Source organism: Homo sapiens, chromosome 13 (assembly GCF_000001405.40).
Source record: "Homo sapiens chromosome 13, GRCh38.p14 Primary Assembly".
Classification (NCBI taxonomy): Eukaryota; Metazoa; Chordata; class Mammalia; order Primates; family Hominidae; genus Homo; species Homo sapiens.
Genome location: NC_000013.11, coordinates 26,401,917 through 26,416,269, shown reverse-complemented (window position 1 = coordinate 26,416,269; position 14,353 = coordinate 26,401,917). Strand labels below are relative to the sequence as shown.

The 14,353-nt window shown below is 40.9% G+C and overlaps 1 protein-coding gene across 5 annotated transcripts in view; it reads right to left on the bottom strand.

Moving 5' to 3' along the window:
• Nucleotides 1-11,031: 11,031 nt before the first annotated feature.
• Nucleotides 11,032-14,353, bottom strand: part of CDK8 (cyclin dependent kinase 8) — a 151,110-nt gene continuing 147,788 nt past the window's right edge. For all 5 annotated transcript variants that reach the window (XM_047430033.1, NM_001260.3, NM_001318368.2 and 2 more), the window contains one exon: nucleotides 11,032-12,314. In XM_047430033.1, coding sequence (XP_047285989.1) covers nucleotides 12,189-12,314 — 126 coding nt within the window. In that variant the 3' untranslated portion in view covers nucleotides 11,032-12,188. The remainder of the gene's footprint in view (nucleotides 12,315-14,353) is intronic.

Sequence of the window (14,353 nt, the reverse complement as noted above, 5' to 3'; positions counted from 1 at the left end):
TGATGGAGTCAGACCCTATTTTGAAAAAGACTTAAAAAAGAGAAATGTTAAAGGAAGTTCTTTGGACAAAAGAAAAATGAATATTAATCCTTTAGACCCCTTCATATTATCCCACAACTCACTGGTGTTCTATTTATTTATTTTTAATATTTATTTTCAGTATGTTTTATAATTTCTTTCGACAATGTTTTGTAGTTTTCTGTGTATAAGCCTTTCAATTCCTTGGTTAGATTTATTCCTAAGTATTTAATTCTTTTTTTTTTTTTTTTGAGACAAAGTCTCACTGTGTCACCCAGGCTAGAGTGCAGTGGCACGATCTCTACGCTTTGTAACCCCCACCTCCTGAGTTCAAGCAATTCTTATGCCTCAGCCACCCAAGTAGCTGGGACTACAGGTGCGCACCACCATACCCAGCTAACTTTTGTATTTTTAGTAGAGATGGGGTTTCACCATGTTGGCCAGGCTAGTCTCAAACTCCTGGCCTCAGGTGATCCGCCTGCCTCAGCCTCCCAAAGTGTTGGGATTATAGGCATGAGCCACCGCACCTTGCCCCATTTAATTCTTTTAGATGCTGATGAGATTCAACTTGCTTTCCTAACTTTTTTTTGGATTTTTCACTGCTGGTGTACAGAAATACAACTGATTTTTGTGTGTTGACTTTGTGAGGCCACAAGACCTTGCTGCATTTGTTTATTCACCCTAATAGATTTCTTGCGGATTTTTTAGAATTTTCTATATACAATATCATGTCATTTGTGATTAGAGGTAGTTTCCTCTCATCCTTTTCAATTTTTAAAATTTCTTTTTCTTATCTATTAACTCTGACTAGAACTTCTAGCACAATGTTGAGTAGAAGTGGTGAAAGCAGGCACCCTTGTCTTGTTCTGATTTTAAGGGAAAGCTTTCAGTCTTTCACCCTTGAGTACAATATTGGATGTGTTTTTATCATGTTTAGGTATTTTATCATGTTGAGGAATTTTCCCTATAATACTAGTTTTCTGAGAGTTGTTTTTTTTTTTTAATTATGGAAGGGTATAGGATTTTGTCAAATGCCTTTTCTGCATCAATTGACTTGATCATGTGGTTTTTCCCTTTTGTTATATTAATCTGATGTATTACATTTATAGTTTTATTTTGAGCCACCCTTAGGGTAAGGAGGCATGAATCAATGGAGCACAGAGGATGTTTTGAAGGTCTGTTATTAGATGTGTAAATGTTTATAACTGCTATGTATCTTGCAGTATCAATGTTTATTAATATGTAATGTATATATTTTTCTCTTATAATTTTTTAAAATGTAAAGTCTATTTTATCAGATATTAGTATAGCTACTCCAGCTCTCTTTTGATGGCTATTTGCATTACTGTCCTTTTCCATCGTTTTACTTTTAACCTATTTGTGTCACTGAGTCTAAAGTTAGTGTCATAGACAACATATAGTTGGATTATATTTTAAAAATCCAGTCTGCCAATCCTTGTTTTTTGATTGGAGAATTGAATCCATTTGTGTTTAAAGTAATATAAGGAGGACTTCCTTCTGATATTTTGCTATTTGTTTTCTACATACCTTATGACTTTTAGCTACCTCATTTCCTGTAATATTGCCTTCTTAGGTGTTTAGTAAAAAAATGATTTCTTGGAGTGAAACTTTTATTCCCCTCTAATTTCCTTTTGTGTATACTCTATAGCTATTTTCTTTGTGGTCATCATGGGAATTACATTTAACATCTTAGAGTTGTAACAATCTAATTAAGTTTATAAAAATTTAACTTTTAAGTTCACTGATTCTTCTGCTTGCTCAAATCCGTTTTTGAAACTTTCTAGTACATATTTTCTTTCAATTATCATACTTTTCAGCTTCAAGATTTCTTTTTGCTTCTCTTTTAAAATTTCTATTGATACTCTTATTTTGTTCATATATCATTTCTGCATATCTTTGTCTATGTCTTCCTTGAGTTCTTTGAATCCTTAAGACATTTTTTTTCGTTTTGTTTTTGTTTTTGTTTTTGTTTTTGTTTGAGACGGAATCTCTCTCTGTGCCAGGCTGAAGTGCAGTGTCGTGATCTCAGCTCACTGCAACCTCCGTCTCCTGGGTTCAAGTGATTCTCCTACCTCAGCCTCCCAAGTAGCTGGGACTACAGGTGTGCACCACCATGCCCAGCTAAAAGACAGTTGTTTTAAAGTCTTTGTCTAGTAAGTCTAATGTCTGAGCTTCATGTACATTTTGTGTCAACTTATTTTGTTCCCTTGAATGGGCCATAGTTTTCTATTTCTTTGTATGCCTTTTTGTTTGTTCATTCTGAAAACTGGATGTTCGAATCTTATGACGTGGAAACTCTGGAAAACAGATTCTCCCTCTTACCCAGTGTTTGCTGTCTTTTGATTGTTGTATGGTGTATTTGTGCCAGGGATCAGCTTGAGGTGAAAGCTTAATGTCTTCTCATGTCTTTTCTGAGCCTGTGTCTTTCCCTAGGCATGCAAAGTGGCATTCTAAATTTCCCCATATACATGCTTGTTTTTGAATGTCCAAAGACAGACAGACAAACAAACAAACAGGTATAGTTCCTTTAAATCTCCTGGAAGCTGCTTCAGCTGGGAGGAATTCATACAATGACATCCAAACTCTTTACTCACTAATCAGTGATCAAACAGCAATCCCGTGAGAACACGGAACCCCACTATTTGAAGGACAAGGTCATTATTGCCTGTCATGGCTCCAGCAAGATGTGCCAGAGATATGGGCTGCCATTCCCCAGCTGCCTGCCACCACACTGATAGCTGATATCAACTGAAATTTACCAGCTAAGCTGGTCCCTGGAAGTTTCAAGTATTCAAATAAACTGAGTTCCAAAATGGTTACTTGAGACTGTTTCTGCCAGTACAATTGTTGTCCAGGTGGACAGATAGATTCCTGATAGCTTCCAATTCTGCCATCTTTCCAGCAGCACTACCCTGCAGACTATATTATAACAAAGAGCAGGAGAGTTAATATAGCCTTGGGGTAAAAGAGAGGCTGTACTATTGTCCTTCCTATGTAAACATGTTTTTGATTTTCCTTATAGAAGGGAATAATGCGTTTGCCACATCAAAAGCCACATACAAAGTGCTAGGGGCTGTGTTGATCTGTTTTAGTAAAGATAACACATCTGGCACAGCAGCTGTAATTGGAGCTATTACTTGGTTCGGTTTACACTGTTTGCATTGGTCTACCATCCATTCTGGCCCTCTGACTTTCAAGCATGCCTCAGGTTGATAATTGGCTTACCTAGGCTTGTCATATTTTTTTTCAAGTCGTTTGAAGAAGTTAACAAAAGCCAGCCAACTCCATAGTCTTTTAAATATCATTGTTTTCATACTGCTCAAGCTTCCAGCATCTGTATCATGTTTCCCCTTCCACCTGTACCTCATCCCAAACGAACACAGGGAAAACTCTGGTAATTGTGATCTCACTTCCCACCAGCAACAAGTTCTTTATTGCTATTTTTGAGGACTCACTTCAATACAAATTTTCTTAGCCTGGATTCCACCCTCTAAGCAGAACATGAAATAAAGGATTGTATGCAGGTGGTTTACTTGCAAATGTGATCTTAGCGAGCGGTAGTATGAGATAAGGAAGAGAACAAGGAAGAAAGGAAACCAGTACAAGGATGCTTTATTCAGTTGGCCAGCCCAATGAACAGTGGGTGCTCCATTCTGCCGGGACCTTCTGAAAAGCCTTATGAAATGCATCTCTAAACAGTTCTGCTCTGGGAATCAAAGGAGGAAGCATCTGCCCACTGACTCCTTTAATCCATTGGTCAAGGGTAACCATATGGCCTTTATAGCTCCCTGTCATATCCTGATTGTGCATTCCTGGGTTCAAAGTTGATTCCTATGGACATTCCACACTGAATCATCAGAGAAGCTCTATGGCAGGAAGGGACACATACTTGATGTGGGCCCAAAGCAAAGCACCTGCACAAACCTGGTGGAAGCCTGTGTAGGACTAGTCACTGTAGCAGTAGCTGAAGGAAAAGGGGCACTTGGAGGGGTGCATGAGAGGAATCCAGTAGAACTTGGCACAGTGAAAACCTTTGATTAATACTAAATCAGAGAAAATTGCTAGTTGTCTATTTTAGCATATTTTCTGCCAATGAAGAAACTCAACTGGCAAAATAATTACTGCGTATTCGTCAAGCTGATTTTGGGGCCTACTGAATTAGCATCCATTTTAAAATCCATTAGAACTGTTGAAGTGTGCTTTAACAGCTATAGTCAGTAACAAGCAAAACACAAATTTATAAACTTTGTAGTATAAATGGAAAAACACATTTAAGAATTCACCTTACTTGTCATATGTAGGACAGCTCTTGTCATAAATGTCATAAATAAGACAGCTCTCTCTGGCAGCCTCCAAGCTTACTAATTTCATCCTTGACTGTTGCTGTCTAGGATACATTTTGCAATCTGGAAACTGTGGCCACTTTACCCAGTATGACCATCACAGCTTATTACTTTCTCTGGGGCCTGGAAGCTGAGGACCTGGGTTCAAATCTGGATTTACCAGTAGCTGAATTTGAGCAGGGAAAAGCCTCTCTGAACTTTATTTTCCTCATCTGAAAAATGGGGAAGATAATAACTGACTCAAAAAGTTTTTGTGAATAATATATGTAAAATGCTTGGCACAGTTACTTTGGGTTTATCTGAGATAAAAAAGTTAATTATGAAACTTTGAATACTGATTTATAGTTTATTTTACAAAGTACCTTTCAGCATTTCTGTAACTCAGTGTGAAAGTCAGTTATGATCCTTATCATTGACAGATACTTGGAAAAGTTGAATGACTTGACTAAGGTCTTACAGTAACAGATAGGGCCACGCCCTAGGATTCTGATTCCAAACCCCACCTCCCCCAAGAAAACTTTCCCATCATGCTGTTCTCTTCCCAGAGACAGATAGTAAACAAATACCCAAACAAAAAAATACACAAGCATAAAAACGCTAGGTCGTGCATTGCTCTGAGGAAAAGTGAAGTAGGAAAAGCAGACACACTGTGGCTAAGGGAAGGGTGGGGAGGGAGGGCTCTCTGAGGAGGTGCCATTTGAGCAGAGCTAAATGAACTGAGCAAGCCAGACAGAATCCAGGGTGAGGGAATTCCAGGCAGAAGGCACAGCAAGCAAAAGCCTGGAGACAGGCATGCGCCTGACGTTTTGGAGGAAGAGCCAGGATGCGGTGGTAACAAGTGCAGTCATCGGGCAGGGGAGTGGTGGGAAACGCGAATGGGGAGAGCTGCCAAACTGGAATGTTTTAGGCAGTGCTGAGAAATTCCGACTTTATTCTAAGTGTGATGGAGGTCTCTTAAGACATTTTTATTTTTTAAAAAAATTTTATCTCCTGAAATTTCTTTTTACTAGCTTTTTTTTTTTTTTTTTTATGAAGACATTCTTATAAAGGTTCATTAGTGTGTGTGGAAGAGAGACTACAGAATGGCATGTGTAGGGAGGCAGGGAGGCCAGGTAGGAAGCTAGATCATACTGAGGAAGGGTGGAGGCCAGGGAGCAGAGATTAGAAAATCTCTCCCGCTTGGAAGTGGCTGGGCCAGCTGGTGAATTTGGTTCCACGGCTGATGAAGGTGTGCAGGCTGTGGCTTCAAGCATCGTGCCATATTCAACAGCAGGAGTCAAGCACCTGGAGCGTCCACAGGTCCTGGTGCTGCTGGTGAGTGGCCACCTCCCCCACATGCCGATGGACCCACAACGCAGGATACTCTCCTGCCTATTTATCTAACTCCTCCCTCACCCACACCTTTGGAGCCACTCTCTTCTGGCACAGAGCTCCCGTTTCCACCAATACCCCACACCCGTCACTGCCGCAGGTCTTTACATTGGTTGCTCTTGCGTGCAAAGCTCCTATGTGCAAATTTCATGTATTTCAAATATTTCCTATTCCTGTTCATATTTCTCATCGCAAATATGAGGTTGGTGCCAAAGTAATTGCGGTTTTGCCATTACTTTCAATGACAAAAACTGCAATTACTTTTGCACCAACTTAATATCACTTCTTTGGAAACTTCTGATTATGCTACTTAAAACGGGCCCTCAAAGACATTGTCATTCACCTCACCTCCTTTTTTACAAAGATTTTAATCAAAATGTGACATTATTGTTATTCTTATCTACTGCTTAACTGTTTATCTTCTATCACTAAAATACACTCTGCATGCGTACAGGAAACGAGCCCTCGCTGTCCTCTGTTGCAGCCACAGCGTCCAGGGCAGTGTTTAGCATATTGTAGGTATGCAATAAATGGAATGAAAGAATGAATAACTTCAGTCCTTTCTAAGGCTAGAGAGTGTCCTGAAAACCTCCTATATCAATCATGGATAGTGTTTGATCTCTGAAACGTCAACCTCTGGTGAATATAATGACCCAAATAATATACACAGAGCTCTCTCACCCCCACTTGATTTCCAGGTACCATTTGGATTCTCATGGCACGTCTACCCATTAGACAGGCCCTCTCTGTACCGATGATGACATACATTAATTCACATATGGAATTCAATAAGTGACCAAGCCAGAGCATGACGCATCTTTTGGAAATTATGCCTCGATGCATGACGTGGCCATCACTTTGTTCAGCCTCAGTAGGTATTTGTTACACAAATCTCTTGTCAATTAGAGGTTATAAGCTTGACCATAGCGTTTTTCACTCATCATTTCACGTTGCCAAGGTATTACTAGCACGTCTTGCTGGGTGGGGTGGCTCATGCTTGTAATCCCAGCCCTTTGGAAGGCTGTGGCAGGTGTACTGCTTGAGGCCAGGAGTTTGAGACCAGCCTGGGCAACACAGTGAGACCCCCATCTCTACAAAAAATAATTAAAAAAAAATCAGCTAGGCGTGGTGGTGTGCACCTGTAGTCCTAGCTACTCAGGAACCTGAGGCAAGAGGATCACTTGAACCCACAAGTTCGAGGTTAAAGTAAACTACGATTGCACCATTGCACTCCAGCCTGGGTGACAGAGTGAGACCCTGTCTCTAAATACTACTACTACTACTAACAATAATAAGCATGTCTTGTATTTTGATTGCCCTAAATTTTTATCAATGAGTCCTATTTTTGTACAATGTTAACTGTAATTATTTTATTCATAGTCTTTCAAAAAAAAGTATATATTCTAACCCATTGCATGCATTTAGTTCTTTACAGCAAGTTAAAAAAGAGGGAGGCCTATGTGTTGTCATTTTAAAAGGGGGATGTATCTGGGTTTGAGAAACAAAGTAGACCTCAAATATCTCTTTTTCTGCTGCAAAGACCAACTAATATTGAAATGCTCATTATTTAAGTCAGAGTAATTTTTGTGTTTCCCAAGGCCAATGAGAATCAGGAATTTGTTAAGCAATAAATCTGGATTATGGTTGGCATCATGATTTTCAAGATTTTTTGCTTTTTAGGGAAGGACACTGAAAATGGCCTCTGTGCTTGGAGGGGTGTGTGTGTGTGTGTGTGTGTGTGTGTGTGTGTTTGAGACAGGGTCTCACTCTGTTGCCCAGGCTGGTCTTGAACTCCTGGGCTCAAGTGATCCTCCCACCTCAGCTTCCCAAGGTGCTGGGATTACAGGCATGAGCCGTGGTGCCTGGCCATTGGGAATTTTTTTGAAAGCTGAAAGACAAAAAAAGGTAGAAGAACATATATGTAGGCAGAAATACAAACAGTAGCACTGATAAATGTGGAGGAGGTCAGTATAAAGTAGGGGCTATTACCAGATTGCAAGTATTTTGGAAAATGTCAACATAACTAATTTCCATATTTAAAAAGTATTCTACCATCGATTGCTCCTGTTCTTGAACTTAGATGTGGAGAAAAAACACTTTCTAGGCCAGGCTTGGTGGCTTACACCTGTAATCCCAGCACTTTGGGAGGCAGAGGCAGGTGGATCATTTGAAGTCAGGAGTTTGATACCAGCCTGGCCAAAATGGTGAAACCCAGTCTCTACTAAAAATACAAAAATTAGCAGGGCATATTGGTGCGCACCTGTAATACCAGCTACTCAGGAGGCTGAGGCAGGAGAACCGCTTGAGCCTGGGAGGTGGAGGTTGCAGTGAGCCGAGATCGTGCCCCTGCACTCCAGTCTGGGAAACAGAGTGAGACCCTGTCTCAACAAAAAACAAAAAACAACAACAACAAAAAACCCAACATTAAAAAGAAAAAAATAAAGAGTTCTCTTTTGGATGTGTTCAGTTCGAGATACTATTTGACATCCAATAGAAAGTCATCCATTCATTCAGCACATACTGATGAGCGCTGCTGTAAGGCACTCTTCTTCTAGTTGCTGGGACTATTGCAAATAAATAATTCCATCCTGCAGTTTCTTTTCTAGCGGGAGAGAAAAAGCAGTAAACAAGTAGACATCTCATCGATGCTCAGTGCTGTGCTGGAAAACCAAGCAGGTACAAGAGAGGGAGAACGCTGGGGTGGGGAGGCAGGCGGGCTGTGATTTTTTTATTTTTTTAGGTGGAGTCTCCCTCTGTCGCCCAGGCTGGAGTACAGTGGCACAATCTTGGCTCACTGCAACCTCCACCTCCCGGGTTCAGGCAATTCTCCTGCCTCAGCCTCCTGAGTAGCTGGGATTACAGGCATGTGCCACCATGCCTGGCTAATTTTTATATTTTTAGTAGAGACGGGGTTTCACCATGTCAGCCAGGCTGGTCTTGAACTCCTGACCTCAAGTGATCCACCCGCCTCAGCCTCCCAAATTGCTGGGATTACAGGCATGAACCACCATGCCCGGCCTCAGGCTGTGATTTTTAAAGCAGAGAGGGAGAGCCTCTCTGAAGATAAGACTTGAGCAGACCCCAAAATGTCACCAAGAAGCTTGCTGGGGAGAGCACTGGAGACAGATGCAGACAGCAGCAAGCATGAAGGCCTTAAGACCAAACGTGCTTGGCATGCTTGAGGGTCAGCAAGGAGAGTGGTGGAGTGGGAGTGCAGCCACCGGGAGGAGAGGGACAGAGGCTGGGACCAACCAGGGAAGGGAAGCCAGGACACTAGGGGCTTCTGGGTACAGCAAGGGAGTGACGTGACCTCCATGCCCAAGGCTTACTCAGGATGCTGTGTGAAGACTAGGAGAAGGGCGGAGGTTACTGGAACAGTCTTGGAAAGAAGGCTGTGCCTTGGTAGAGGGTGGTACAGTGCGGGTGGTAAGGACAGAGCGACTCAGGATATGTTTTCAAGGGACAGTTGGCAGGATTTGCATATGGAACAGATGTCCTGTGTGAGAGATGGTGCCAGGGCTGCTGCCTGGCCTGGACAGCCAGAAGGGGGGAGGGTGCCAACCCCCTAGGCTCAAGCGCTCCTTCCGCCTCCTCTAGCTGGTTGAGTCTGTAGGAGGCGGTGGCTGGAGGCTGGAGTCACCTTTCTGGACATGGACAGATTCAGTCTAGATAATATGTAGGAATGAGTCAGACAGGACAGGGAGGTCTGGACTAGAAGTCTGAGAATTATCAGCCTATTAAAGTCACGAGCCTGGATGGCAGCACCCAGGGCATAAGTGTAGATCAAGAAGCCAGGTCTGAGATGGAACAGGACCCATGCTCTCAGGGAGCTTCCATTCTACTGGGAAGAAACAGAAAATTGGCAAACAGATGTCATCAGTCAGGTCTAAGTGTTATGTAGAAAAATAAAGCCGGGGGAGGGAATAGAAAATGCTGGCAGGCATGTGGATGTGGATGGTACTTATCACAGATGCAAGTAAACGCAGGAACCTGGCGCTCAGGGAGAAAGCTAGCTGGATGTACACTCAATGGTCACCTCCATGTTTAATGACAGGAGAGGAGATGGCGCAGGATCACTCAGGGAATGAGGACAGACAGAGAAACAAAAACCTGAGAATTGAGCCTTCAGGCTCTTGTACCGTTAGAGTGGAACGGTCCACTCTAGAATGGGTTTCGCTTTTGGAAATTCACATAGGAAACTCATGTCAGTAGAGTAGCCCTCCCTGAAGGGCAGAAAAATACTCCAGAGGATTCTCATATCCACTAAGCTTGAAAAACCTCAGCTTTAACGGTAGGGAGCAATATTAGAAAACAATGAGAATGGACAGGAAATAAGAAGGCACAGTAAGAGGTAAAATTGACAGAAATCAGCTCGGTGCAGTGGCTCATGCCTGTAATCCTAGCACTTTGGGAGGCCAAGGCGGGCAGATCACTTGAGGTCAGGCGTTCGAGACCAGTCTGGCCAACATGGTGAAACCCTGTCTCTACTAAAAATACAAAAATTAGCCGGGTGTGCTGGCGGGCACCTGTAATCCCAGTTACTTGGGAGGCTGAAGCAGGAGAATCTCTCGAACCTGGGAGGCCGAGAATGCAGTGAGTGGATATCGCGCCACTGCACTCCAGCCTGGTGACAGAGTGAGACTGTCTCAAAAAAGAAAGAAAGAAAGAAAGAAAGAAAAAAAACCCAGACCAAACTATGGAAGGCAGGGAGCTCCTGAGGGCTCAGGAGGGGAACTCATAACCAGGTCCACACATCCTGAGAATGCGTTGGGGCAGGAGGACTTAAAATGGAAACATGAATTCAGCTCCTAGAAATTACCATTACTGTACTGTCGGGCCTATAAGGACAGAGATTCCTCAGTGATTTTGTTTTAGAATGTTTTTATATCATTGAGTTGGGTTTTTAAGAAAAAAGTTAGTTTTTTTTCCTAATCTTCTGTATTTTCTGGAGGAGGAAAATTAATTATTAGGGATACAACAGTCAAATCCTTCTCAGTACAACACAGAATAAATTAGGAATGATTCCAGCGATTGAAGGCTCACCAATATCTTCCAATTAGATAGGTGTCTGTGTTTCATATCTTACATTATGGTACCGAGTATAGCAGGAAAAAAGGATCCATATCTAAGACTCAAGTCAGTACTCTATTATGGAGACAGACACATAGATATTCTTCATGAAAAGTGAAGAGATTTCTTCAGAGGCTACTTATTAAGGCATATTTTAAAATTAAAACAAAAACCCTTTGTACATATAAAAAAGACAGCTGACTCCATGTTTTGATTTATGAAAAATAAATTTATTACATAACACCTTGTTTTTAACAATGTTCAATTATTTTTTATTCAGAATACTTGTGTCATTCATGTAAAATAGTTTGATACAGTACATTGTATGTTATAGGTTTTTTTTTCCTCAAAAATTCTAAGGCTCTCCTACTCCTTCTCCTTTGCTGAAGTAAGGGCACCCTAAACAACGTGCGAACAAGTTTTCAAAAGGAAAATTAACTGAACGAAATTTTAATAGCACTACACCAACCAGCTTTAAAATCAGGACGAAAATATTTGAATTGGATGCCGCACCTTTTTAAGGAAGTTATCATTCATGCTTTTTTCATCTTAAAGCATGCTCACAAATCAGCAACACCAACAGGAAAAATAAAACACTGTCTATGACAATCATTTTAGTTTGTTTGCTGAACCAAACAGGTTTATATCAATGACAACATATTTAATTACTATCAAATAGCAGCTTTAATACCAGTCAAGTCATAGATTGAAAATAAAAACAAACTTATAAGTTGGAAGTTAATCTTTGGGAGTTTTGAAACCTTTCTGGAAAAACTATGTGGCTTTTTGTACTTTCAAAAAAATCCAAGCAATATTCTTGGTCAGAAAACACTGATTAATGTAGAAAATGAATCAGCCCACTGATAAGACACTAAAAAGAAAGGTGTACCAAAATAATCTCATTTCGAGTCTTGGTTATTTCGTTAACATATACTGTATGTTTCAAGTACCAGTTAAACTTTGTGTCTGTGTGTGTACTATTGGTCAGATAATGTTGTTACACTGAAAAAATTCACCACATACAAAGACAAATGCTTGCCCCTAGCACATTCACAGCTTCAACTGCTACAGACTGTCACTGAAAAAAATGCATTGGTCAGTCTGAACCATGTCAAGTAAACTATGGAAGTAGCAAATCCACAACACAAACTGTGCTAGCACTTTCTTTTCAAGTCTAACTCCAAAATAGGTACAACTTGGAAGCCACTACCCCAATCTGTGAAAAGTGGTGGAACTTGGCTACTGGACATTTTGAAGATGTGGTTGTACAGTACATTCTCATGGCCCATACCAGGTTCCCGCAGAGAGCTGCACAGTCAGCCCTGCAGCATTCGCAACAGTGCATGGACAAGATTCCGATGCAGCTCAGTACCGATGTGTCTGATGTGAGTACTGTGGAGGCTGCTGGGAGGTAGCTGAGTATCCCATGCTGCTCTGCGGCTGTGATGTGCTTGGTCCAGGGTTGGGATAGGCAGCATGTGGATTGGAACGCTGGAAAGGAGATGAGGGAAAAGTGTGATTCAGGTGCTTCTAGGGGAAGCTCAATCCCAATATGTGACTGAAGTGTCATTATGTTTCAAGGAAGAAAGGATGTATAGGTTTTGTGCTATGTACTAACTTTATAATTAAAGACAAAAACCCCAAATATTTTAACATCCTCTTCTCTTGAGGAAGGTCAGAAATATTGCTAGTAAATAATATTAAGCCTAGGCTTATTACTATGCTGTGCAAATACATTTTTTTCTACAGGAGTAACCCCTTTTTATGCTGTTTTGTATCTACTTGGTAAATTTGCTTGAGATGTTTACCCAGAAACTTAATGATGTATACATAAAAAATTCAAAGCTTATTTACATGCTTTCTTCAGTAGAAAACTCACCCCCACACACATGACTGAAGAGTAAAAGTGAGTATGATAGGAGAAGGTATCACAGAATCCATTTCTTTGGCATTAATACATTTTTATGCCCTTTAAACTATTTTTTTTTTCTTTTGAGACAGGGTGTCACTCTATCATCCAGGCTGGAGTGTAATGGTATAATCATTGCTAGGATTATAGGCATGCACCTCCATGCTCAGCTAATTTTTAAAAATTTTTTTTGAAGGAACAGAGTCTTGCTATGTTGCCCAGGTTGATTTCAAACTCCAGGCCTCAAGTGATCCTTCCCCTCAGCCTTCTAAACCACTGGGATTACGGGCATGAGCCACAGTGCCTGGCCCCTTTAAGCTACTGAATCTTATTTTCTGCTACAAGTTTATATACAAAAGTAAAAATATAACCACAGTAAGAAGGACGGTATTCTCAATTCTAAAATGGCACAAAGAGAAAGAATGTGATGGTTTGGGGTTCTCTAATTTTGATATGTTAGATTATTATTCCCATTCTCACACCTCTCTCTCATACTATTTGCTCCCAAGACAAACACTATAAAAGATTAACCAGAACTTATTACTTCTGTCTTTCAAAGCATATTTAATAAGACATATAATTCCAAATTCTGCCAATCCTAGAAAAGGTAACATTTTTAAAAAGAGTGGACACATGAAATGATAGTCACAAATACTATTTTAAAATTCATCCACAAAAAACCAACAACAATCACACCAACAAAGCAGCATGGCATCATTTTCTCGGTTCCAGAAGCGAAGGTCAGAGCACTGCTCTGCTTCCTTCTAAGGATGCCATCACCTTAGTGTGCAAACACATTTGTGGGCCAAGAGAGATGCACTCTTCCCATCCGGAAAGGAAGAAAAAGATACTGGAACCAACAACTCCCACAGCTGTCTGCCCTTGGTGTCCTTGTTTAGCTAACTGGAAGAGAATTACTACTCACACAACAGTGATTTCCATGGTGTGATGGGCTGGACTTCTCCCCTAACCAAAAGAAAGAGTTAATACCTAATTCTGAAAGTACAGTAACGAGCACTCGGGACCTTATCAGTTTAATAACATCTCTTTCTCTCTCTCTTTTTTTTTGTGTGTAAATAATTCTAATTGGTCAGATTTTCAGTATCCTTCCCACACTGAACCCTTGTGTAGTTGGGAATATGGTTAGAATAAGCAGAAGAGAAAAGGAGGTGGTATACAATTTTCAAAGAGGGTCTTTCCACAACGTAACTGACAATGCCATGATAGGATCCCTAAGCAGGCAACATAACAGCCTTTGTGGTCAGATCAAATATGAGTCCTGCATCTACAGCTTGCTGGGGATCCATGTGAAAGTTATTTAACCTCTACAAGCCTCAGTTTCCTGAAATGGCTGCAACACTTAACCTCCCAGAGTTATCTCATTTAATCCTTACTACAGCTTCACATTGATCATTATCCAGTCTACAAATGGAAACTGAGAACATCTGAATCACTTACTCAAGGATACAGAGAAGTAAGTGGCCAGACTGGGATCTGAAAGCCTATGTTCTTAATCACTGTGAAACATTGTTCCAAAACAATAGCTATCAAGCTCCTACCATAAGCTAGGTGTCAAGCCACTTCATGTCTAATCTGACAACAGCTGCAAGTTAGGTTTTAC